This window comes from Homo sapiens, chromosome 8 (genome assembly GCF_000001405.40).
Source record: "Homo sapiens chromosome 8, GRCh38.p14 Primary Assembly".
Classification (NCBI taxonomy): Eukaryota; Metazoa; Chordata; class Mammalia; order Primates; family Hominidae; genus Homo; species Homo sapiens.
Window position 1 is genome coordinate 17291172 of NC_000008.11, and position 26898 is coordinate 17318069.

The following is a 26898-nucleotide window of genomic DNA, read 5'->3' on the forward strand; positions in this document are numbered from 1 at the left end:
CTGGCTAATTTTTGTATTTTTAGTAGAGATGGGGTTTCACCATGTTGGCCAGGCTAGTCTTGAACTCCTGACCTCAGGTGATCCACCCACCTCAGCCTCCCAAAGTGCTGGGATTACAGGTGTGAGCCACCATGCCCATACGATCTCCCCTTTATCATTTTTTATTTTGTCTATTTGATTCTTCTCTCTTTTCTTCTTTTTTAGTCTGGCTAGTGGTCTATTTTGTTAATCTTTTCAAAACAGCTGCTGGATTCATTGATTTTTTTTTTTTTTTTTGAAGGGTTTTTCGTGTCTCTGTCTCTTTAAGTTCTGCTCTGATCTTGGTTATTTCTTGTCTTCTGCTAGCTTTTGAATTTGTTTGCTCTTGCTTCTCTAATTCTTTTAATTGTGATGTTAGGGTGTTGATTTTTTAGATTTTTACCGCTTTCTCCTGTGGGCATTTAGTGCTATAAATTTCCCTCTAAACACAGTTTTGCTCTGTCCCAGAGATTCTGGTACATTGTGTCTTTGTTCTCATTGGTTTCAAAGAACTTATTTATTTCTGTCTTCATTTCATTATTTACCAAGTAGTCATCGAGGAGCAGGTTGTTCAGTTTCCATGTAGTTGTGTGGTTTTGAGTGAGTTTCTTAATCCGGAATTCTAATTTGATTGCAGTGTGGTCTGGGAGACTGTTATGATTTCCATTCTTTTGCATTTGCTGAGGAGTGTTTTACTTCCAATTATGTGGCCAATTTTAGAATAATTGCTATGTGGTGCTGAGAAGAAGGTATATTCTGTTGATTATGGGTGGATAGTTCTGTAGATGTCTATTAGTTCCGTTTGGTCCAGAACTCAGTTCAAGTCCTGAATATCCTTGTTAATTTTCTGTCTCGTTGATCTAATATTGACAGTGGGGTGTTAAAGTCTCCCACTATTATTGTGTGGGAGTCTAAGTCTCTTTGAGGTCTCTAAGAACTTGCTTTATGAATCTGGGTGCTCCTGTATTGGGTGCATATATATTTAGGATAGTTAGCTCTTCTTCCTACATTGATCCCTTTACCATTATGTAATGCCCTTCTTTGTCTTTTTTGGTTTTTCTTGGTTTAAACTCTGTTTTATCAGAGACCAGGATTGCAACCCCTGCTTTTTTTTACTTTCCATTGGCTTGGTAAATCTTCCTCCATCCCTTTATTTTAAGCCTGTGTGTGTCTTTGCACATGAAATGGGTTTCCTGAATACAGCATACTGATGGATCTTGACTCTGTATCATTTGCCAGTCTGTGCCTTTTAATTGGGGCATTTAGCCCGTTTAAGGTTAATATTGTTATGTGTGAATTTGATCCTGTCATTATGATGCTAGCTGGTTATTTTGCCCATTAGTTGATGCAGTTTCTTCATAGTATCAATGGTCTTTACATTTTGGTTTGATTTTGCAGTGGCTGGTACCAGTTATTCCTTTCCATGTTTAGTGCTTCCTTCAGGAGCTCTTGTAAGGCAGTCCTCGTGGTGACAGAATCCCTCAGCATTTGCTTGTCTGTAAAGGGTTTTATTTCTCCTCCACTTATGAAGCTTAGTTTGGCTGGATATGAAATTATTGGTTGAAAATTCTTTAAGAATGTTGAATATTGGCCCCCATTCTCTTCTGGCTTATAGGGTTTCTGCAGAGAGATCCACTGTTAGTCTGATGGGCTTCCCTTTGTGGGTAACCCAACCTTTTTCTCTGGCTGCCCTTAACATTTTTTCCTTCATTTCAACCTTGGTAAATCTGACAATTACGTCTTGGGTTTGCTCTTCTCAAGGAGTGTCTTTGTGGTATTCTCTGTATTTTCTGAATTTGAATGTTGGGCTGTCTTGCTAGGTTGGGGAAGTTCTCCTGGATATCCTGAAGTGTGTTTTCCAACTTGGTTCCAGTCTCTCTGTCACTTTCAGGTACACCAATCAAACATAGGTTTTGTCTTTTCACATAGTCCCATGTTTCTTGGAGGCTTTGTTTGTTCCTTTTTATTCTTTTTTCTCTAATCTTGTCTTCACGCTTTTTTTCATAAAATTGATCTTCAGTCTCTGATATCCTTTCTTCTGCTTGATCGATTGGGCTGTTGATACTATGTATGCTTCATGAAGTTCTCGTGCTGTGTTTTTCAGTTCCATCAGGTAGGTCATTTATTTATGTTCTTCTCTAAACTGATTATTCTAGTTAGCAATTCTTCTAACCTTTTATCAAGGTTCTTAGCTTCCTTGCATTGAGTTAGAACATGCTCCTTTAGCTCTAAGGAGTTTATTACCCACCTTCTGAAGCCTACTTCTGTCAATTCATCAAACTCATTCTCAGTCCAGTTTTGTTCCCTTGCTGGCGAGGAGTTGTGATCCTTTGGAGGAGAAGAGGCTTTCTGGTTTTTTGAATTTTCAGCCTTTTTGCACTGGTTTTTCCTCATCTTCATGGATTTATCTACCTTTGTTCTTTGTTGTTGGTGACCTTCGGATGGAATTTTTGCATGGTCGTCATTTTTGTTGATGTTGATGCTATTGCTTTCTGTTAGTTGTCTTTCTAACAAGCCCCTCTTCTGCAGGTCTGCTGGAGTTTGCTGGGGGTCTACTCCACATCCTGTTTGCCTGGGTATCACCAGCGGAGGCTGCAGAACAGCAAAGATTGCTGCCTGCTCCTTCCTCTGGAAGCTTTGTCCCAGAGGGGCACCTGCAAAGTGCCAGCCAGAGCTCTCCTGTATGAGCTGTCTGTCAACCCCTGCTGGGAGGTGTCTGCCTGTCAGGAGGCACGGTGGTCAGAGAACCACTTGAGGAGGCAGTCTGTCTCTTAGCAGAGCTAGAGCATGGTGCTGGGTGATCCGCTGCTCTCTTCAGAGCCGGCAGGCAGGAACGTTTAAGTGTGTGCAAGCTGCGCCCACAGCCACCCCTTCCCCCAGGTGCTCTGTTGCAGGGAGATGGGAGTTTTATCTATAAGCCCCTGACTGGGGCCTCTGCCTTTCTTTCAGAGATGCCCTGCCCAGAGAGGAGGAATCTAGAGAGGCAGTCTGGCTACAGTGGCTTTGTGGAGCTGAGGTGGGCTTTGCCCAGTCCAAACTTCCCGGAGGCTTTGTTTACACTGTGAGGGGAAAACAGACTACTCAAACCTCATTAATGGTGGACGCCCCTCCCCCCACCAAGCTCCAGCATCCCAGGTCGACCTCAGACTGCTATGCTGGCGGTGAAAATTTCAAGCCAGTGGATCTTAGCTTGCTAGACTCCATAGGGGTGGGATCCGCTGAGCAAGACCATTTGGCTCCCTGGCATCAGCCCCCTTTCCAGGAGAGTGAAGGGTTCTGTCTCGCTGGCATTCCAGGCAGTACGAAAAAAAATTCCTGCAGCTAGCTCGATGTCTGGCCAAACGGCCACCTAGTTTTGTGGTTGAAACCCGGGCCCCTGGTGGTGTAGGCACCTGAGGGAATCTCCTGGTCTGTGGGTTGCGAAGACCGTGGAAAAAGCGTAGTTTCTGGGCTGGGTAGCACAGTCCCTCAAGGCTTCCCTTGGCTAGGGGAGGTAGTTCCCTAACCCCTTGCACTTACCGGGTGAGGCAACACCCCACCCTGCTTCTGCTCACCCTCCGTGGGCTACACCCACTGTCTAACCAGTCCCAGTGAGATGAACCAGGTATCTCAGCTGGAAATGCAGAAATCACCTGCCTTCTCTGTTGGTCTCCCTGGGAGCTGCAGACTGGAGCTGTTCCTATTCAGCCATCTTGCCTGGGAGCCACTGTGGGCAAATCTTAATTGGAAGATAATGTAAAGAGATACATATTCATCTTCTTAAATATTAGAGGTATTTTTTATTGTTTTCTTTCTAGATTTTCCTGGAAACATGAACTGCCAAGAGAGGAATGGGACACAAAACCAAACACTGTTTTATATTTATGGTTTGCAAACTGGCATTTCATCAGTGGCTAAATTCACAGATATCCTATATAGATTGTATACAGAACTGAGACTGATTTTGTACCGATTAGAATGATTGCTATGATCTTTGAGAAATTTTTCTGCACTATTTGCACTGAAATGTTTATTTATTGTTGATAAATTGTATCATATTTAAGTTCCACTGCTGTTCCTCTTACCTTGATTAAATGCCTATGCATGTACTTTTAGCTAGTTTTTAATATTTTATAAAACTTCATTTAAATTTGTATTTTTAACTTGAAGTTCCATTTCTTTATCAAGGATGGTATTTAGATTTTTTTCCTCTTAACCTTTTTTCAAAAACTATTTTCAACTGTGAGGAAACCCTTATTTTTCTTTCTTTGTGGATAAAACTTTCAAAAGCAATTTAAGATATTCATAGTGTTAGGAAACACCAAACCTGCCTATGTGCCATCTCACAAAAGAAACTTTTAATACCTACAATAAATCAAAAGAATAAACCAGCTGTTCTTATATATTGTTTCATTTTTAAAACTAAAGATGCATTTAAGAAGCAATACAAGTAAATATTTTACCTAATAGGAAAAAAAAAAGTTGCCTTTCATTTAAACCATTCCAACAGAAATTCTTATGCTAATTTAAAACATATATATATCTGGTAGGTTTGTGGTTGGATAGGTTTTCTAAATTCCTAATGTTAAAAACAATCTTTATGTTAATATACACTAAATCTATACACAAAAAAAGTCAGTGAACTTTTCTGACCTTTACTGTGAGTTACCTTTTCCTAAGAGGAAAGCTATAGTAATAAGTAAAATTTAATTTTTAGGCAATCCTGATTTTTAATGAATTTAATTGAGTGTTCTTGTATACTACATTGAGCAGTTTGCTTCTATACCGTGTCACAAAATTCATGTATTTCTTGAGAAGCCCTAAAAGCTCATAAAGGAAAATGCCGTGAACTATGTAGCTCAGGCTTGGTAAGGTGCCATCTAAATTACAAAACAAACTAATGCATAATTTTGCTTAAATTTCATCCCAGTATGATTGTCTTCCCAACACCAGCATATAGTATAGATTGTCTGTCTTTTTTATATTTTTTAGTTCTTCCTGTACATGTTTTTGGCAATAAAGTTATAGGAAGAACAAAATTATTTTGTTAGAATTAAAACATGCTTAATATTTAGTCTGTTTGTGGAGGGCAGGTATTCACGTGGACTGAGATACAATGTTGGATACAGAAAATAACTTTCATTGTCTTCCTGACACTGTGCTAAGGACATGCTGTTAAAGCTTCAAAGTGACCAGATGAGGAAGGAATAATTAATTATTACTCCTGATTTGTAGATAACTGAGGTAAGAGTGTTTCAAATTTATGATAGTCTTTTGGGTATTCAGAAACCTTTCCTTATACTGCACTGGCCACCAGAGCTTAATTTTCCCAGCAGTTACAGCAATGGGAGATAGAACAGTCTCAATCTTTTGCCAACCATCAGGTTCCTAGAAACCAGGTAGGTGTATCCCATAACAAGGGAGGAGCATACCACAGCCCCTCATTTGATTAATTCATTTGATCTATCTATGTTATTAAGTACCTACTAGGAATAAGGCATTGTGGAAATACTATACAAAGATAAACATTGTTTAGATGCTTATCTACTTTCCTTTTCACCAGAAAAACAGAAAAAAAAGAAACATTTTCTTACAGAGTAAAAATGTTCTACATAATCACATGAGTAGTTCATCTCAGTGTTTTTTATTCTTTAAAGTTGAACTATCCCAGTTTCATTCTATACCATTCATTGGATAACCTTGTTACAACCCAGTCATGAAACAGAGCAGTGTGATCAGTTATCTGCATTTAACAAATAGACAAATCAGTTTACATAAAGGTTATGTATGTCACCCACGATGAAAAGAATCTGCATTTGAATATGCCCGTATGAATGTGGGTTCTGTTTTTGCAACAGAGATTAAGTGACCATTTTTTCTAATTTTATGGCTATATATTTTCTTCATAAAAATTGGTCACATCGGAGAAGCAGTGCCACAGGAAAAATGAAATGCATGTGAAAGTTTGTATTCTGATTTTACAAGATGAGATAGAAATCAGAATTAAAGAGGAATACTTAGGAGTTACTAGGCTAATCAGTGTACGAATTTGTCATAGGTAGAGATTTAAAGGTTAATATCTTAAAATAGAAGAAAATTCTAAATCAATCAATCAGTGAGATATAAACTAAACAGACCCACTTCAAAGTTGAAAGAAATTTCTAGGCATAAATTGAGACTAGGAAATTTATATCAGAATAGAGGGTGCTTGACACATATATATGCTTAAATTGAAGGACAGCTCAGATTCATTTTTAGGAGAAGAAAGTAAACTAATGTGCTCTTAAAGAATAAAAATTTATTCTATGGTTTCTGTCTCTGATCATCACCTTCCATTCTATAAAAAGCTCAGTTACTGATTTGCTGGGTCATGGTCAAAATTCTTACCTATTTATTTCATATCAACTTTAAAAAATAAATTACTTGCATTCTATATATTACTAATTGGGAAGTAATATGCCTCAAATCAGTTTTATACTGGATTATTCCCTATGCTTTAAACCACTGCTCTCAATAAAACACTTCCTGATTAATGTTTGATTATTAGATATTTTAGTCTTGTTGGGGATATTTTAGTCTTGTTGGGTTAGCCATGCTCTGAAGAATCTGTGAAAGTACAGTAAAGTTTTAATAAGCAATAAATGTAACCTTTTATATAAATCTCAGTGCTAGGTTAACTTCTAATAAGCAGACGAACATGTTACATAAATTATAATGTCTGTCTTGTAAAAAAGTTGAGGGGACTAAAAGTTTATGACTCTGATATGGAAGTTGTCATATTAAAAAACTACATTTTAAAACATCAAATATTTATACTATTTGCTTTTCAAATAAAAGCATAGTGCTGTTTGGCATAGATACTTTGTCATTTTTTAAAAAATGTTTATTGTTTTTATAGACATACACTGTCAAACGGAAGAAATTAAAGCCACATCCTCAATATTAGGCAACAGAGTTTCTAAGAGTGGACAGCTCCAAGAAGGTTGTGAAGTGAGTTATGTTATGTTATAAAAATGTGAAAGCCATTACCACTATATCCTAAGTTTTATTTTAGCAAGGTATTCCCTATTACATATAGTATATTGCAGAAAATGAATAAACATTCCTTGTACTTAATTTGGGAACTGCTCAGCAGAGAATGCCCAAATTTTATATTCTGAAAGAATTAATTACACTTGCTTTATTTTTTACATTAACAGTACTTTTAAATCACAGTTCTCTAATATATTCTATATTTTTAAATATGATGAACACAATTAAATGTTTTCATTTATATATATTGCAACACTCCCTCCAAATCTTTCATACTAGAGAGATCAGCAATGTTGCTTTCTTGCCCTCGTCCTCATTTCAGCGAAATGTAATAATTCTCCCATTAAAAAAAATCAGATATTCAAAATATTGATGTAAATTGTAAAGTTTAAATTAATCCTTTCACATATTCAAAATATTGATCTAAATTGTAAAGTTTAATCCTTTTACATTCTAGAATGTACTAATATATTAAAACCATACAGTGTGAATACCATTTATTTATGTCCAAACATGGCCACTTTTCCCCACTAAGTTTAATTTAGGTCACCTAGTGAAGTCTTTTTTAACTCATAAGATAGGGGAGGGACTCTCCCTTAAATGTGCAGTGTAACAAAACAAAAATTCTTTTCAGAACTTTCAGCAGTCAGTGGTCATGAGATGTTACTAAGGTTAATTAAACCATATTAGCCAGTTACATAATTTCTAAAATGATAGATTACAAAACCTATTCCCTTCATTAAACAGACATGACAACCCAATTCTCTGGTTCTTGAAACTGGATTTTCACTCACAGATGTTTTATCTACTAACTTTATAATGTGATACTTTGAGATCAGGCTGGTGGCTGGCCCACACTGTCGGTAGTGTAGTCTCTAGAACAGTAATAAAAGGTTATTACAAGAAAGCTGATACTTAAATTCATATGTAAGACCAGGAGAATGAATGTTGCTTCTACCTCGTTAGCTATTAAATCAGTGTTAGAGAAAAAGTGAGATACAAGGTTTAGCATTTTTAAATAATGAGGAGAAACAGACTATAGATCTCAGAGAAAAGCAACAAAATTATTCTCACAATTCAAAATATATGCTCCAAGGAAAAGTTAAAGTGATGATTATGCCTGAAAGATAAGCAATTAAAAGCTCCTTAGGAATGCATCTATTAACTAAAAAGGGTGCATCTCACCAATGTGCCTGTTTTTAGAAATATGTATAAGAGGGTCGGAAAGGAGGATAATGTCAGATGCTTTAGAAAACACAAAATATGCATCTAGAAGTGAACTAAAAGAATCATGATGATCACAGATGTGAGGGAAAGGAGTGGAGGCTTTTTGAGAGATGCATGCTATGACAAGGAAGATAGATACTGATCACTTCAGGTAATGACAGAAGTAATTGCTCTGCAGTGAATATAATTTTCATAGTCTAGGGTGAGCTTCAAAATGGTGAATAATTTTCCTTATATTTGATAAATGAAATGACTACGTCCTCTTCAGTATCTAAGAAATCAAGAACTGGGCACTTTTTTCCCTTTTCATAGCTGCATTAAAGTAGTTCTCAATGACATGCACCATTTCCTGTTTTTACAATAAACCACCTTGTTCCCTTGTTTTTGGAAGTGTTGCTTATGTGTCCTTTACTTTGGAACTCCAAAGGGAAACTTCAGGCAGTGAGAAACACGGCTTCATCAGAATCCCGGTCCTTGCCACTATCTTCACTCGGTGCATGCTCACCACCACTTGGAGACCGACAGCTCAAATCCTCCACCCCGGACTCTTGGTCACTGTTGGCTGACAGATCTGGATCTGAACTTTTCAGATTGTCTTGGGTTAGAATCAGAGCAGAATCTTCATCGCCTTGTGAAGGGCTCCGGGATGGAAATGATTTCATATTCCCACTGTAATCCTGGGGAGTGTTGGCTATGCTGTTGTCTGAGGTAGAAAACCCTGAGTGCTTGCTGGGCTCACTTTGCTTACTCTTCACCTTAGTGCAATTTAACTGGACCTTTTGAATTTTTTCCAGCCTCTAAGAAAGAAATAACAATTTCAGGGGAAAAATCATAAATAACTTATCTTTTTCTATATATGCATGTCTTTAGCATTTGTTACCTCCCACGTGGGTATAATGTTAAGAACATGTGACTCAGAGGGATGTGAGTTCAAACCTGGACTTCACGACCTTGGACAAAATCTGTGAGGCCTGCTTTATCTCTAATGTAAGGATAATACCTGCCTTGACATAGGTTTTCTATAATAATAAACAATATAGCACAGTTGAAGCACCCAGTGAACCCTAGTCTCCCTCTTTTCTATACCTACATGGTTTCAAATGATGAGTCTCATCCCATGAACTCAAAAAACATTTTTTAGAAATCATGAATGAAGTGTTTATCATCTAACTTTTATACTGAGATACAATTCACTTACCGTGAAACTCACCCTTTTAAAGTATACAATTCAGTGGTTTTTAGTTATATTCACAAGGTTGTGCAACGATCACTACTAATTATAAAACACTGTCATCACCTCCCCTGCCGAAAGAAAACCCCATACTCATTAGCAGTCATTTCCCATTCCTATCTCCCCACAGCCCCTGGCTACTACTGATCAACTTCTATCTCTATGGATTTGCCTAGTCTAGATGTTTTATATAAATTGAATGGAATCATACAACATGTGGATTTTTGTATCTGGCTTCCTTCACTTAGCTTATGTTCTCAGAATTCATTCATGGTACAGCATGTATCAAGTACTTCATTCCTTTTTCTGGCTGAACAGTATTCCATTACATGGATATACCAGATTTTGTTTCCCCATTCATCATGTTATGGACACCTGGGTTGTTCAGAATACATTTCGCCAGATTTCATGTTTTGATGTTAACACAGGAGGTGTTATAAGATCAAGTATTATGTATTCATTCAAAACCATTCACTTAGGTTATGTGCAAAAGCACTGTGCTGGGCAGTGTGAGGAAAAGAGATAGATAAATACAGACCCAGCCTTAAGGAACATGGAGTAGTGGAGCAGAGAGAGGCAGAGTTCATGCAATGTAAGAATTTCAAAAAGGCAAAAGTTCTTGAAGAGGGATGAAGTGGTAAGGTTAGAAGGAAAAGAACAGAGTAAGTTTCAGGGAGGAAGGAACATTTTAACAGGACTGTGAAAGATTTAAACTTGGACATTCTGGTGATAGCTAGTAAGCATTCCTGACAGGAGTAGGGACAGTGAGAGGACAAACACAAAGGTAGGAAGGTCTAAATTGTATACAAGCAGCAAAAACCATTAAATATTAGCATGGAAAATAAAGCTGAAAAGAGAAAATCTCAAATGCCAGCCTAAGGAATTTTGACTTTGTAATAAGGAAGAGCCAGTTTTAAAGAGCCAGACTGCTAGAATAGACTAATAGAATCCTAAGATGTTCATAAACTACATTAGTACCATTGGAAACAAAGTTATCCAATTAGGAAAAGCATTTTATTATAACCTCCCTGTCCAAGTACAGGGAAGTTCATAGAAGCCAAAAGATAAGACTTTACAGTCAGTCTCCCCTTTACCAATTATAGATTAATATCATAGTTAACATAATTTCTAAAAGTGGGGAAAGAGTTTTACAAGTACATATATTTGATTTTATTCTGTTACTTTTTCACACTTTCCAGAAAAAAATTAATTTTACTACTCTCAAATAACAGTAACCAAACAAGTTGACCTAAAATAAGGAACAACCAAAAATTTGTGGAACTGAGCCACAAACCAGATGTGTGAAATGCATTAAATGCCTAGGTTTGGGCTTCGGTTATCTGAGTCCTGACCTGGATGGGGTTGTGTTTCAGGTGTTCTACTGACTAAAAATGTGAAATATTTGTATTGCACTGAATCTTAAGAGGCTTTCATGAAGCCTTGCTCTTCAAGAAATAAGCACAGAAAATAGATTAACAAAGCAAGTATGTCTTACTTCTTCCAGGGCCTCTAGTTCTTCCTCTAGCTGCTGAGTTTCTTCCTTCACTGCCATTAGGTAATCTGTAACTGACTGTCGGGGCTGCATCCCCTTTTCAAAGCGGTTATACATTCCACTCCAAAACCTGGAAAGGATGGCAAAGCGTCGTGATACCACCTTATCACAGTCTGAAAATTCACATCCTCAAGTCTTCTAAGGTATCTATGATACCACAGTCTTAATAATAACCAAATGCAAATTTCAGCCTCAAAAAAGCCACTACTTAAGGTAATAATTTCATGTTGATGTTTTTTTTCTTGGGTCAGTAAATGCCTTTTGGGGAGAATAAGTTTATGAAAAGTCTGCCTGTATATATGAATTAGCACAGAATACATTTTTCTAAAATTAAAATAGTACATGTAACCATTACCTTTTAAGAAAATGGCTCTTAGTTTTGAACTTTGAAATTGTATATTTAGAATCTTTCAGCTACAAAGGGAATCTTAAACTTGCAGCTTTTATCTTTTGTATCACGACCACTAAAAGTTGACATTTGCATTGGCAATAACCCCCCCCCCCCCGCTTTTTTTTTTAATGGCAGAGTTTCGCTCTTGTCACCCAAACCGAAGTGCAGTGGTGTGATATCGGCTCCTTGCAACCTCCACCTCCCGGGTTCAAGCGATTCTCCTGCCTCAGCCTCCCAAGTACCTGGGATTACAGGCATGCACCACCATGCCTAATTTTATATTTTTTTTAGTAGAGACAGGGTTTCACCATGTTGGTCAGGTTGGTCATGAACTCCTGACCTCAGGTGATCCACCCACCTCAGCCTCCCAAAGTGCTGGGATTATAGGCGGGAGCCACCACGCCTGACCAATAAATCCCTTTTTATCCTACACAAAAAAGCAACTGGAGTGCAAATGAGAAAAATGGTGTTATCACAGAGTTACCCTTAGAACCACTATTTTATTTATGTAGATAAGTAAGTACTTTGAGGGCAAGGACTTGGTGTCATTGTTTTATCTGCAGTGCCCAGAACAGTGTTTGATCCTCAATAAAATATGTGTTGACTAGCTGTTAATAATAAATTAGTTGCAATCCAACTGGTCATATCTCAACAGCTCTTAAAACTTGTCTTACATGCACTATGGAGGCTTTTGTTTAGTATGATAGAATATTCTGCTATAAATTCTGAGAAGATAATTAGATTGAAATAATTAAGAAAAAAAACCTTGAGAAACGAAATCTATACAGGGAGAAAAGCCATCAAGTCTGTGTCGGGAGTGAGTAGGAAGAAAGAGATGGGGTTTCTGTTTATTCTGCATGAGTCTTTTGATGTTGCTGACCTTTGAGTTTTTTCATATTATACAAGCCTAACAAGGAAGCCAAAGGAAAAAACATACGTATCTAGCACATACCTAGTAGAACTTGTAGGATGCCACCCTGCTCTCCCCATTCTCCCCATACATACAATCTTTTTTTTTTTTTTTTGAGATGGAGTTTTGCTCTTGTTGCCCAGGCTGGAGTGCAATGGCACGATCTCGGCTCACCGCAACCTCCTCCTCCCTGGTTCAAGTGATTCTCCTGTCTCAGCCTCCCGAGTAGCTAGGATTACAGGCGCTCACCACCATGCCCAGCTAATTTTTGTATTTTCAGTAGAGACTGGGTCTCCCCATGTTGGCCAGGCTTGTCTTGAACTCCTGACCTAGGGTGATCCACCCGCCTCGGCTAATACATACAATCTTAATGTAATTTCCACAAGGGAAGTACTTCCAGTAGGACTTAATTCAGTGGAGACAAAAAGGCAACCTATTACGTTGGTGCAAAAGTAATTGCGGTTTTTGCCTTTTTGTTGTATAACGGCAAAAACCACAATTATTTTTGCTCCAACCTTAACACGTCATGATCACTGTTGAAACTTGTGATTCCACATTTGACTTAAGGCATTTGCATTATTCTCTTTCATTTGCTTTTAAAAAAATAAATTGGAACTTAACCTTTTTATGATATCATTATTATAAAACATCACCTCCTGAAGAAAATTCCACATTTAGGAGGAATAAAGAGGCAGAGGAGTCACTGGCAAAAATACCAGATCAGATATTCAAGCATCTCCCTCTGGTGTCTTTTGTGTCCAATAAAAGCCTCAAAGATCAGTGTCATACACTTTGACCTCTGAATGTTAAACGGTACCAGAATCCAAGTTCATACCATGGCTACAAAGTTACCAAGGATTTACATACTTGTACATGAAGTTACATGGTGTTGTAGGGAGATGAAGGGTTCCCTGAGTCTGGCTGTGATCAGCTCTAAACAGAGGATTCAGGTAGTCGGCCCGATTCTTCCACAGGTGAGCCCATAATGAGTATGTTCTTTCTTGAATCCTGTTATAAAGAAAATAAGTCTATAAATGACCTATTTTGGTGCTTACACACAGTAGATATGTTATATTAATGCTGGAAAGGAACTAATAATTGTTACCTGAAAACCACGTGTCTGTTCGATAGCAGGTAAATGTATCATCTTGGTGACTTCATGGTATAGAGGGAGAACACTGTAATAATCTCAACTTCACCACCATCTGTACTGGCCTTGACAAGGTGTTCGATTCGTGTGTGTGTGTGTGTGTGTGTTAAGCTGTTCTTTTGGGGGGAGTTTTTTCCCCCAAATAGTCATTGGACATTTATAATTTGTCACACACTATTCTAAATGTTCCACGTTTTCTCTCATTTAATCCTCACTGAGTTGCTGTGAGCTCTGTCTAATTTACAGATGAAGAAACTGAGGAATAGAGAGAATAAGTGGTTTCCCAAAGTCCTATAGCTAGTAAGTGGAAAAGCCATATTCAGACCCAAGCAGATACTGTTAGAATTGGCTAGTCAGGTACAAGAAAACAGGTGACCCTAAAGGATACACTCTGCTCCTTCTAAATCATCTCCATCTCCATGGAATCACACTTGAGCTTCCTTAGAGAAAACAAACTAGTATCCACTACAAAAATTAATTTTCTTTATGAGTCCATTTCATTTGAACTGATCATTCCCCAAATTAAATCTGATAATGTTGTATACACCATAGTTAAAACCATTTCATTTTATGAAAATTTAAAAAATGTTCTCTCATGTATACTGCCTAAATCACTTTGTTGTAAGTTTTTTACTGTCACTTATTTTAAAGTCCACAATTTATCTACTTTTACCCTTGGATAAATCAATACAGTTTTAATCTGAATAAATTCTGGCTTTTATATTTGCTTTCCCAATTAAATTTGCAATTTTTATTATGGTAGCATAGCCACCAAATATATCTAACCTTTTCCTTTTAAATGCAAAAACCACTTTTTTGACTCCAGAAAATTCCCTTTCGATATTCATGCATCAAGTCTGTCAAGCTGTCTATCAGGCAGAAACTGAAGGAAAAAATGAAACTATTTATCTGTCAGTTGATGACATTTAAACCATTTATGAAATGACACCAGGAAAAAGAAAATAAAACTAATCTGTCAGTATAGGTATGTGACTAAATGAAAAAAGTCTTCAAAATTATGAAAGGCCACCTAAAATTCTCAGTCATCAAAATCTTTAAATAAAAGTTAAACACCAAAAACACCAAAACACTTACTTGAGTTCTCGTCTCTCCTTTTGGCTGTTACATAGGAAGTTTCCAAACTGGCAGGAATAAATGTGATGTTGAATGTGAATCAAAAACCTCTCATTGAACTCAAAGGCACAGGGAAATTGTTCCATTAACTGCCAAACACACTCAATGAACTGGTCAATAACTGGAGAGATTTCTTTTGGGTCACCATCTAGATTGCCATATCTATAAAACAAAGCATTAGAGACTTTTTAAGGCAGATTTATTTTTAAAGTACAAAGCCATAAATGCAAAAACAACCATAAAAGCAACCCTAGTTCCTAAATAAATCTTATCTTACAAACTTGGAATGACAAAAAAGGTAGAAAAGTTAAGATTTTAAATTCAAATTTCCAGAGCAACTTTGTAGTGACGGTCTGGATAGAAGGGATGCGTTCACGTTATAGTTACAAAAGAAAGTGTTAGTGCAAGAAATAAAATTCAAAGACACTTTCCACAGAAAAAGGGCATTTTTAAATTCATTCCTTAAAAGTACATTAGAACTTTTAAAATAAATGTTGCACTTTATGAGCGGGTGAGAAGAAATGTCCAGACAACTTTAAGGCTCTTCATTTTTTGCGCTGTTTTGTTGGGAAGGGATGAGGAAAAAGACAACTTGAAAAAAAAAAATAGTGGTTTCCCAAGTTGCCAAGAATATTCCCATTCCTAAAGCGGTTAAAGCTTATCACGTGATTTATTTCCATGTGACGACAGATTCCACATGTATTTTTCTTTTATCTCCCATTGCTTTGCTTTTCAAGAGCACATCAGACTCGTCTTCCTCAAATTTGTATTGATTTTAAAATGAAGACTCCTTAGCCCTTTACACTACTGTGTGAGTTTTACAGAGAATCCAAAAGGATGTTTTGGTGTCATCAAAGACAAAATAACAATATAGAACCCCGTGTTAGTAAGAGATCATCACCTTGAGGAAGAGGAATGAGCAATGATCAGTTTTAGAGTTTTCCCAAGAGTGGGAACATTGGAAATTGTCTAGAAACTTCTCAGATGTTACAGTTTCTCACCTTTGGTAGCTTTAAAAAGTGTTACCTAGGCTAGCCATATGTAGAAAGCTGAAACTGGATCCCTTCTTTGCACCTTATACAAAAATTAATTCAAGATGGATTAAAGACTTAAACGTTAGACCTAAAACTATAAAAAACCCTAGAAGAAAACCTAGGCAATACCATTCAGGACATAGGCATGGGCAAGGACTTCATGTCTAAAACACCAAAAGCAATGGCAGCAAAAGACAAAATTGACAGATGGGATCTAATTAAACTAAAGAGCTTCTGCACAGCAGAAGAAACTACCATCAGAGTGAACAGGCAACCTACAAAATGGGAGAAAATTTTTGCAACCTACTCATCTGACAAAGGGCTAAAATCCAGAATCTAAAATGAACTCAAACAAATTTACAAGAAAAAAACAACCCCATCAAAAAGTGGGCAAAGGATATGAAAAGACACTTCTCAAAAGAAGACATTTATGCAGCCAAAAGACACATGAAAAAATGCTCATCATCACTGGCCATCAGAGAAATGCAAATCAAAACCACAATGATACACCATCTCACACCAGTTAGAATGGCGATCATTAAAAAGTCAGGAAACAACAGGTGCTGGAGAGGATGTGAAGAAATAGGAACACTTTTACACTGTTGGTGGGACTGTAAACTAGTTCAACCATTGTGGAAGTCAGTGTGGCGATTCCTCAGGGATCTAGAACTAGAAATACCATTTGACCCAGCCATCCCATTACTGGGTATATACCCAAAGGATTATAAATCATGCTGCTATAAAGACACATGCACATGAATGTTTATAGCGGCACTATTCACAATAGCAAAGACTTGGAACCAACCTATATGTCCAACAACAATAGCCTGGATTAAGAAAATGTGGCACATATACACCATGGAATATTATGCAGCCATAAAAAATGATGAGTTCATTTCCTTTGTAGGGACATGGATGAAACTGGAAACCATCATTCTCAGCAAACTATCGCAAGGACAAAAAAACCAAACACCACATGTTCTCACTCATAGGTGGGAACTGAACAATGAGAACACAAGGACACAGGAAGGGGAACATCACACACCGGGGACTGTTGTGGGGTGGCGGGAGGGGGGAGGGATAGCATTAGGAGATATACCTAATGCTAAATGACGAGTTAATGGGTGCAGCACACCAACATGGCACATGTATATATATGTAACAAACCTGCACGTTGTGCACATGTACCCTAAAACAAAGTATAATAATAATAAAATTAAAAAATAAAAATAAAATGAGGAAGAAAAAAATAATTGCATTATGGGAGACTGATTTATATTTGCATAAAGGGAATTTTAGTCTTTTATGGCTTCAGAATTATTTCAAAATAAACTTTACTGCAAATCAAAAAAAAAAGGTTGCCTAATATTAACGTATTTTTTCCTTATCAAACAATTATCTAGCTGATCTTCAGTCATTTCCATATTCTTTCTGTCATCTGTCTCCTATCTTGGAGATCCTAACTGCCTAGCGTGTAATATTAATAGAACCCCAAACTGAAAATAATGCCATGTTAAGAAGTTTATCTAATTGGGGGCTTTAATTTTCTCATTGGTAAATGGAATTCCTATGCTTTCCTGGAAAAAATTAGAAAAATAGAATTCCTGAAAATCACAGAATTAGTGATCAATTAATGCTAAAAGCAAAAAACTACAAAAATATACTTGAGCAGTTGCATGCATTTAGAATTTTAAGAAAACACAGTAAAACTTCTGAAAATATATATCAAACTAATGAAACTTGCTGCCTAAATTTAAATTTTATCACCAAAGACTAAACTAAGTACAGCTATACCATTTAAGATTCAAAGAGTAGAGAACACCAGAACACAATACAGGCATCAACACTGACAAAAGGAGGCTGGTGACTCCCAAAACAACAGCTTTGGCATCCCCATTCCACAGATGAGAGACCAAAGGTCAGACAGCCCAGACGTCCAAGGCCAGACAGTGAATATCATGGCCTGGATCTGGAGTTGGATATGTCTGGTTCTGAAGCCTTCATCACCACTCCAGAGACATCTGGGACAAACTGCACTCCGATACAAATGCCTTAGGACTATAGAAGATCAAAGAGAAACTGTTCCACGGGCAGTTCACAACTTGCAGACTAAAGTGAATCTCTGGACTTCTAAAATGGAATAATTTAGTAAGTCACATGCAAATGGCAGGAGGAAGGGAAGGCTGATCCTCACTAAGACAATGAACAAGCATTCTCTGTCTCTTCTAGAACAAGTTAACATTAGTTAGTTCTGCCCAACTGTTACCAAAAGGAATCAGTTATAACTTCATTTATCTATGATATGACATATACAACAAAATTTAAGCTTTCTGAATAAGAGACACAAACTCAAAAAACAAGACGATTTTCCCCTAAATATTCAATTGAAATTTTCAGAAACAGTGCTTTTATTCTAAACATTCAAAACAGTCTTAAATATTACTTACCGGTGATTAAACTTATGACCAAAGGAAATCCAGTCCTTTTCAATTAATACCTACACAAGAAAGAATACAAATATCTTGGAGAGAAGCAAACGAAAAATAAGAGACCACACAACCAATAATGTTGAGGAATTCAGAGGCACTTGCAGAAGTCCCCATCCTCGAGTAACCTGCAAATGCATGAACAGGCATTATCCACCCATATAGAGATGCACATGGCAAAGGCAAAGTTGAAGGTCATCCATGGGAACAGTGAGTGGAAATGGATGTATAAAAATGCAGGAACCCCACCCGCTGAATGCTTCCTATGTGCCAGGCACTGTTCACATTGCTTTACGTATGATCTCTAACTGTAGGATAGGTATTCTCACTCTTTTAGAAGGGGAAACCGAAGGAAAGAGGTTTCATATTCGCCCAAGATCATGCTACTAGGAAGGAGACCCCACTTCACAGCCCAGGTCTCTCCACTTCAAACCCTATCTCAACCAATGTGTGATGCTGCCTCTCAGTGTAATGTAAATTACCAACCTCTTTACAAAAACAACTGGGAAGTTTTTCAGTGATCTTTTCTACACATTATAAGAATTCTAAAATGATGGTGTTTGGGGTATATTCAAAGCTTCAGCCCTGCTTTGAAATTAGGGTTAACATGAATTTCTAAGTCTGAGGCAGTCCAGATTATTATTTTTAAGTATTTATTTTGGTTTTGTATTTTATATTGTTTTATATTTTAAAATTTATTTTTGAGACAGGATCTCACTCAGCCACGTAGGCTGGAGTGCAGTGATGAGATCATGGCTCACTACACCCTTGACCTCCTGAGCTCGAGCGATCCTCCCACCTCAGCCCAAGTAGCTGGGACCACAGGTGGGCTCCACCACACCTGGCTAATTTTTTTTTAATTTTTTATAGAGACGAGGTCTCGCCATGTTGCCCAGGCTGGTCTCAAACTCTGGGGCTCCAGCAAGCCTCCCTCCTTAACCTCCCAAAATGCTGGGATTACAGGTGTGAGCTACCACACCCAGCCTGGATTTTAAAAAGTGTTCAGTCAAGTAATATGGATAGTCTCATCAATATCCCCAATGCTTTAAAGTGGCCAGAGATTTCCCCTTACAAAGAAATATGAACTAGTGGAAGTCTGTTCTTGACAACTCGAGACATTTTCTTTGGGTTGTAAGTTTAATGGGGCACAATGAGAACAAGTTGATGATGGAAACGCATGTGTGCAGGAGAAGAGCCTAAGGGCAGTGTGTGACTGGCAACCTCTTTACTCTCCAAATGCAAATGAAGCAATCCAGCCCTCCTGACTTCAGTCCAGCAGGGATCTGAAGCAAGGGTATCACTTTGAGGTGTCAATGCTATCACAGGTAATTGGAAGTTCTCAGACACTTCCAAAAAAAGAAAAACATCCCAGAGAGGGAGCCTGCCTCTTCGCTCTTGTCCGAGGGTGTTGCTGATATTACTCAATAATGGAGACCCAGCAGTAAAGATATTCCATTAGGACTCCTTTGTCAGCATCTTGTGTAGCACGGATTCATGATTCACTGAAGCACTGTCTACCAAATCATGGTTAAGAGGTGAATTCATTTTAAGGAACTTATACCAGATTAGTGAAAACTTCACCATCCCAGGCAACTATATACAATACTCTGTAGTTGAAAGCAACGTTACATTTGATGCCCACCTAAAAAGCTCAAACTCTACAGGATATACTCGTCATTTCAGCAAAGAACAACAACAAAAGGCTGTGAAATTTTCAGCATTCTCATCCAGGGGTGTGAAGGACTACTTAAAAAACATACCCTGGAAGTGAAAACAGTTTTTCCTACCAAGGACTTTTGGCATACACAATATAGAAAATTTCTTCCCAAAATATTTTTTCTAAAAAGTCTTCTGTTACATATTCATGTTACCTCAAACTTGAAATACTTATGAGCAAATGATATATAAAATTGGCTTACAAACTACCAAATATATTTTATATTTGCCCCAAAACTCATTCAGTAGCATTGACTTGAAATGGTTTCAATATCCCAGAAATTCATCTCTTTATTCCAAGCCTTCCCCTTTAATCTTGCTGATTAAATTAATCTTGATCTCTTCCCCTTTAATCTTGCTGAGCTACTAAAAGAAAAATAATGCTGGCAAGAAAACAGCAGTTGCCAGTAGTTGTAAAAACAGGGGTCCATTCCTGGTCAAGGCACCGCCTGTGGGAATCGCCCAGTGGCCACACTCACCATGAAGCCCTTCAGAGTCCGGTAGTGAGGGTCCAGCAGCAGGCTTGCCACCGAGCACACCTGAGCGGTCCTGTCCCAGCCATCAGAACAGTGAACAAGCACACTTGCCCCTTCCTCTGACACTGCCTAGAAAACACACGATCCGCAAAGAGTCACAAAGAATGGCTGTAAAAAGGCAGAACCTCTCATCACAGCCAGGTTTGACTGTATATTTACAGAAAGAAACAGCCAAAACGAAACACCTGTCCATTCGTCTGTTTAGGGCCCCCCCTAATTAGGGCAGAGCCAGAGTGGCCTGGTGCTGGCAGCTAAAGCTTTCCCTTCCCATTCTATCCAGAAGCCACCACTCAAGTCACCTCCAATAAGCGCATGTACTTACTAAACATAAGCATTCGTCCTATGCAAACGGACCTTCAACCCTCTTCCCTCCCCTCTGAGTTTCCACATTAAGCCTTACTGAAATTCTGGAGTTGCTACTGGCCCCAGCCATTTCCAAAAAGGAAAAGGCAAAAAAGTTATAAATTACAGACCTATGAAGTTATAAATAAAAGGTAAGCGTCAAGTAATGGATGTAAGGTTGAGGAAAGGAAAAAACAAAAGTAAAAATGACACCAGAAAATCTCCAGTAAGAAAAGAATATCTATTTGCTATTGCAAATGCACATCATTTTTTACTAAATATCTTGGCAGTTAACATACGCTGGGAAACATGGGAGAGATTTCATCATAGCATTTATCACTACCTAAAATTCTAGTTTTATTAGTTTATTAATACTCTGTCTCAGCTGGAGGCAGTGGCTCACGCATGTAATCCCAGCACTTTGGGAGGCCGTGGCGGGTGGATCACCTGAGGTCAGGAGTCCGTGACCAGCCTGACCAACATGGTGAAACCCCGTCTCTACTAAAAATACAAAAATTAGCCAGGCATAGTGGCGCGTGCCAGTAATTCCAGCTACTTGGGAGGCTGAGACAGAAGAATCGCTTGAACCTGGGAGGCAGAGGTTGCAGCAAGCTGAGATCGTGCCACTGCACTCCAGCCTGGGTGACAGAGCGAGACTCCCTCTCAAAAAAAAAAAAAAAAAAAAAAAAAAATTCTCTGTCTCCCCCAGCAGAATATAAGCTCTGTGAGGGAAGAGACTTGATCTGCCTTATTCACATCACATCTGTAAAATCTAGAATAGTACCTGGCACTAAATAAAGATTTCTTGAATAAATGATTACCTCAAAACAGGGAACATACCATGGCATCAGGGAAGATATGGTTCTCTTTAGGTATAAATCCAAGGTATTTATTTCTTTAAAAAAAACTGAACAACACAAAAGACATTGCATTCTAAAACAGCTTATGTGAAAGCTGCAGCGACATTTTCCTATGGCGGAATGGACTCTACCTTCCAGCTACAGGAACATGACTTTTGCTTATGCCATGACTAAAAAGAAGGCTCTACTGGATGTAAGCCCCAAGCCCCATCACTGAAGTAACTCACATTTGGTTGTATTCTACAGAAAATTCTTTCCTCCATCCAGGATTAAGCCTAATGGAAGAGAATACTCTGGAAATATTTTACCATTTGATCACAGTGCTGACACACTATCAGCTAAGCATTGTATTCTTTCGCAAAATCATATCTTCAGCGCACAGACTACGGAGCTCTACAAAGCTGGCTATCCAGTCAGTGCAGTGCAGCTTAAGACAGGGAAGCCCATGGCAGAGGGATACCCATTTTGAAGTCAGTGGTTTGCTCATCTGTCCCTTAATTTATTTTCTCTGCAATTGCATACCTTTGCAATGAAGATTCCTGCATCCATTATGGCTTTAATGTGCCTTAACCAGCCAGAGTTCTCCAGACCCCACAGGAAATCACTCATGGAGGGAGATTTAAGTTCACACACTGCAAGATAAATCATGTTATAAAAGCAAAATTAAGGTACTCTCTCATTTTACATATGATCATGTTTTATAGGTAGTTTGTTAATGATTCCTTTGTTGTATTAGGTATTTTCTGGAAGCAAGCCTTAAGTCAAAATAAATACCCACGTTTACTAAACTTGATTCTATGGAACCATTTCAAGTAAGGCTTTTCTACCTTCTCTGGTCACAGGGAATGCTGCACTTGTTTACAAGTATTATATATATGTAAGGTTGAAATCCTAATATTAATGAAAATCATTAAGAGTTCTGGCAGAAAATATCGATTTGCCTTTCCAGCAAAGTAATTAAAAATGGGCCACTAAGGAATATGAATTGGGAGTGCTATGAGGAAAAAAATCATATAACTAAGTGTAGCACCTACCCACTTAGAAGTTTCTGTCACCCAACCACTTCAGATTAGGACTGTTGTAAAAACACAAGACAGAGCGATCCTAAATTTCTTAAATGAAAATGATCAAACTCCTCTTGCCAATAACCCCCACCCAATGGGAGTAAGGCCTGTAAGCTTAAAAATAACACATATGCCTCTGATCCAATTCTAGAGCATCAGGGTAGAGGCTTTCCCTTTGAGTGAAAATGAAGAAAACCTAGGATCCCAGTGGTATCTATATTTACACAACTAAGGCAGGTGTATAAACACCTCTATAATATTATAAACCACCAACTTTCACCTCAGGAGCTTCTTTTATTTAACGTAAAGCATTAAAAAGCTTCAGAGCTAGTGTTCTGAGTACATATCACAAATACGGCAATCCAAAGTGGAGGTTTAGACCTATAAAGCCCTATTGAGGAGTCTTATCAATCAACCAATGAAATTCAATCAAGAAATCATAGATTTCTTTTTATTTTATTGTTCTCTGTGATGCAGTAAACACACATAGGGAAAAGGGAGCCCATTTTTCTACCCCCAACTCCATGGGCAATGAGCTGTGTAGTCTTGCACATGTTATTCCAGTCTCTGAGCCTCAATTTCTTCATTTTTAAAATGGGGAAGGTGTATAAATTATATCCTTCCAACTGTAAACCCCCAGATTCAACTTTGTGAACTCTTTGAAAGCACTGTGCATATGGGTCACATAGCAGCATTAACAAAAATATTAATTTATCAGATGCCCTGCCTCCAAGAATGCAGATAAGAGGATTCACTGTGATTTCCTGCAGCATAAAAGCCACACACAAAAAAGCACAAGTAGTTAAATTCTGAGTCATAGATGACAACAGTGTTGAAGGAAATAACACCAAAATTCCCAGCAAAACACCCAACCTAAGAAAAACATATTATGAATATGTTCAGGCAAGATTCCAAAATCTTCCTTCCAAATGCCTGCCCTGAGCTAGAAGCACAGCTCTGAAGACCTGATATGCAGTCGGTGAAGGGACAGCCCTTTGAATTCGCTCTGGTTCAGAGCACTACCTTTCTAAGGTCACAGTGTTGCCCCTTGCACACCTCAGGCCCAGCATCACAGGCAGGAAGACACTATGTGTCTGATAAAGTACATGCAGAACGGTAAATGAGAGGGTGCTTAGTGGAAGGCCAGTGAAAAATACACACAATGATTCACAGAATCTATGGCTATATATTAGCCCTGTGGCCCTTGGGTAGTCAGCCGTGGGCTGAGAGTTCCCAAGCTTACAGTTTTAATCATTAAAAGTTATACAATATTTAAACATATGAAGTTTAAAATGTAGTATGTCCTGACAATGAAATACTGTTCAGTGATAAAAGGAGATGAGCTATGAAAAGACACAGAGGGAAGTTAAATGCACAGTGCTAAGGGAAAGAAGCCAACTTTTCCTTGAAAAGGCTACATATTATATGATGTCAACTATATGACCTCCTAGAAAAGGCAAAACTACGGAGACAGTAAAAAAATCAGCGGCTGCCAGGGGTTAGGGTTGTGAGGGAAATAAATAGGTGGGGCACAAGAATGTTTAGGGCAGAAAACTACGACAGTGGTTACATTTATTAAACGTGTCAAAACCCACAGAATGTCCAACAGCAAGAGGGAACCGTACAGTGGACTTTGAGTGATACCGATGTGCCAATGTAGGTGCACTGATCACAACAATGTACCACTCCGTCGGGGATGTGAATAATGCAGGTGGCTGTGCATGTGTGCAGGCAGGGCTAGCTGGGACTCTCCGTACCTTCTGCTCAATTTTGCTGTGAATCTAAAACTGCTCTTAAAAAGAAAAAGTCTTTAAAAACATGATAATGTAACAGACATCCAGATTGGCCACAACTGCTCCAGATGTCTCTTAAGAAAAAAAAACAAAACAGAAAAAAGGCTGGGCACAGTGCCTCACACCTGTAATCCCAGCACTTTGAGAGGCCAAGTCAGAAGGATCATTTGAGTCAAGGAGTTCAAGAACAGCCTATATAAAGTAGTGAGACTCAGGCTCTACAAAAAAGAGAAAAAATGAGCGAGACTGAGTGGCACATGCCTACTGTCCCAGCTACTTGGGAGGCTGAGTTGAGAGGATCACTTCAACCCAGGAGTTTGAGGCTGCAGTGAGCTATGATCTTGCCACTGCACTCCATCCTGGGTGATGACAGAGCCAGATCCTATCTCTAAAAAATAAAGTTACAAATAAAGTCTCGTGTTTTCGTGTCATCCTGCTTCTTTCCTATGAAGATTGTTAATATTCCCAAGAACTTTTTGTCCTTTCACTACTTACATACTAGCTATGTGGGCTTGGGCAGATTACTTAGCCTCTCTGTCCTTCAGTTTCCTCAACTGTAAAATGGTAATAATAGCCTCTGTATCAAACTGTTATTATTTATGTTAGCCCTTATTACTATTATTCTCAAATAATATATATATTTTATAGGTACTAAAATTTACATATATATTATAGTCTGCAATTTTTATCCAACTTTTTTTAGATATCCATATTATGTAAATAAATTTCATTAATTTTAACAGCTATATAATATTCCACTCTATATCTTAAATTATTTATCCATCCCCCTACTGTTGACAGTTGTTCCCTCCTTTTCAATATTTACAAACAGTACAGTAAAAAAAAAAAAAAACCTTTCTACAGTCTCCTTGTGGAAAGTCTCCCTGTACCTGGATTTCTATAAGTGAAATGGGCTGGGTCATAGAGTTCCTAAGTCTTCAGCTCTATCATGCACAGTTGGCCCTCTGTATTCTCGGGTTCCACATCCTTGGAGTCAACCAACCACAGAGCACAAATATTTGAAAAAAATAAAAATAACAATACAACAAAAAATAATGGTAATAGAAAACCAATCCAGTGTAACGACTATTTACACAGCACCTACATTGTATTAAGTATTGCAAGTAATCTAGAGATGATTTTAAATATATGGGAGGATGTGCATAGGCTATATGCAAATACACCATGTTATTATGTAAGGGACTTCTGCGTGTGTGGATTTGAGAATCTATGGGGGCTGGGGTGGGGGTGCTGGAAACAATTCTCCTTGGATACTGAGGGATGACTCTACTGCCAAATTGCTCTTGAAAAGGGCTGCAGTGGTTTATGCTCTCACCAGTAGGTTGGGAAAGTTCCTTTTCCCATATCCCAACTAATACTTGGTAATGCTGATGCTTTAAGTTTTGCCAATCTTATAATATTTCTCTAAGAATATTAATGGCAGTTTTTGTTTTCTTCTCTGAATGTTGTTTTCCAGACTTTTTAGAATTTGCTTGCTTATATGTGTGTGTGTTGTGGGGGTGTGGTCTCTGTCCTGCATGTTGAGCTTTCCTCAGTTTTCTGCTAATTTTTGCCTATCCATTCACATGTAAGAGCAAGACACAGGATGCTGGCTGGCAGTGCCGTGTGCCGTGTGCATGGGCAGGCTTTCTTAGCTGCCAAGCTTTGCTATGGGGGATTTGGCCAATGTAACATCTGCGAGTCCTTTGTCTTCGATGTTTGTAGGCCCCGGCATGGAATCTTCTGAACACCTGAGTGCATCACGTTGGATGCCAGTGTCCTAAGAGGACAGCTGGGGCAGTAACCATGGGTCTCATTCTTCCATACTTACACTTTCACTTAACCCCTGTTTTTGGCCTGGAATTCCCCATCCCCTCTTCCAGCTTTGCCTGGTACTCCTGATCCCAGAGTCCCTGCGGTCAACGTTTCCAGAAAGGTTGACTTTCCAGAAAGTGTATCACCATCTTCTCTTGTGGAAGTGTGGAAAGAGGCTTCACTAGGCAGTGCAGGGGAGGAAGGAGGCTGGGACCCAATGAACTGCTTCTCGTGCAAACATTCGGCTACTACTCGTTTCAGAGATACCTGATGGCTCGAATTCCAGAGATTGTCTAAGGATCTGCACTTCTATTTAGCTTACTTTGGGGTTTCTCATACTTCCGCCATAAATTGCAGCTTTTTTTTCTAGTCTGTGGCATTACTTATCACTCATCCATTTATTTTGCAGCTTTTATATTTTTGTTTCCATGACCTCCTCTTTCAATCTCCCGTCCTTCTGTATTTTTGCCTTTTTTTCCACTTCATTCTCATTTCAGTGGGAAGTCAGGAGGAGGTGGGTAAGTTATTATATGTTGTGTTTAACTGGAACAGAAACAAGAAATTCCTTTGGGTCTGTGCAAGGCAGAAGCTGGAACTGAGACTCCCTACATCAAACTGAGCTGTTAAA

The 26898-nt window shown here is 38.3% G+C and overlaps 2 protein-coding genes across 23 annotated transcripts in view; one reads left to right on the forward strand and one right to left on the reverse strand.

Annotated features, from left to right (window-relative positions):
• Positions 1-26898, forward strand: part of VPS37A (VPS37A subunit of ESCRT-I) — an 86498-nt gene that overhangs the window by 44214 nt on the left and 15386 nt on the right. For 8 of the 18 annotated variants that reach the window (NM_001363168.1, NM_001363170.1, NM_152415.3 and 5 more), the window contains one exon: positions 3816-6853. The exons of 3 other annotated variants lie outside the window; for them this stretch is intronic. The gene's annotated coding sequence lies outside the window, so the exon portion shown is untranslated. Of the gene's footprint in view, positions 1-3815; positions 6854-6895; positions 8647-8683; positions 9319-10991; positions 14227-26898 lie in introns of those variants that run through there. 7 more of the 18 variants (XR_007060695.1, XR_007060696.1, XR_007060697.1 and 4 more) reach the window with 7 other exon arrangements.
• MTMR7 (myotubularin related protein 7) overlaps positions 5623-26898 on the reverse strand; it is a 116558-nt gene continuing 95282 nt past the window's right edge. For 4 of the 5 annotated variants that reach the window (NM_004686.5, XM_047422407.1, XM_011544693.3 and 1 more), the window contains 7 exons: positions 22121-22230; positions 20340-20465; positions 18106-18155; positions 14586-14786; positions 13208-13348; positions 10983-11109; positions 5623-9053 (listed from right to left, as the gene is read on the reverse strand). In NM_004686.5, the coding sequence (NP_004677.3) occupies positions 8691-9053; positions 10983-11109; positions 13208-13348; positions 14586-14786; positions 18106-18155; positions 20340-20465; positions 22121-22230 (1118 nt within the window). In that variant the 3' untranslated portion in view covers positions 5623-8690. Of the gene's footprint in view, positions 9054-10982; positions 11110-13207; positions 13349-14576; positions 14787-18105; positions 18156-20339; positions 20466-22120; positions 22231-26898 lie in introns of those variants that run through there. The other variant, XM_047422408.1, reaches the window with a different exon arrangement.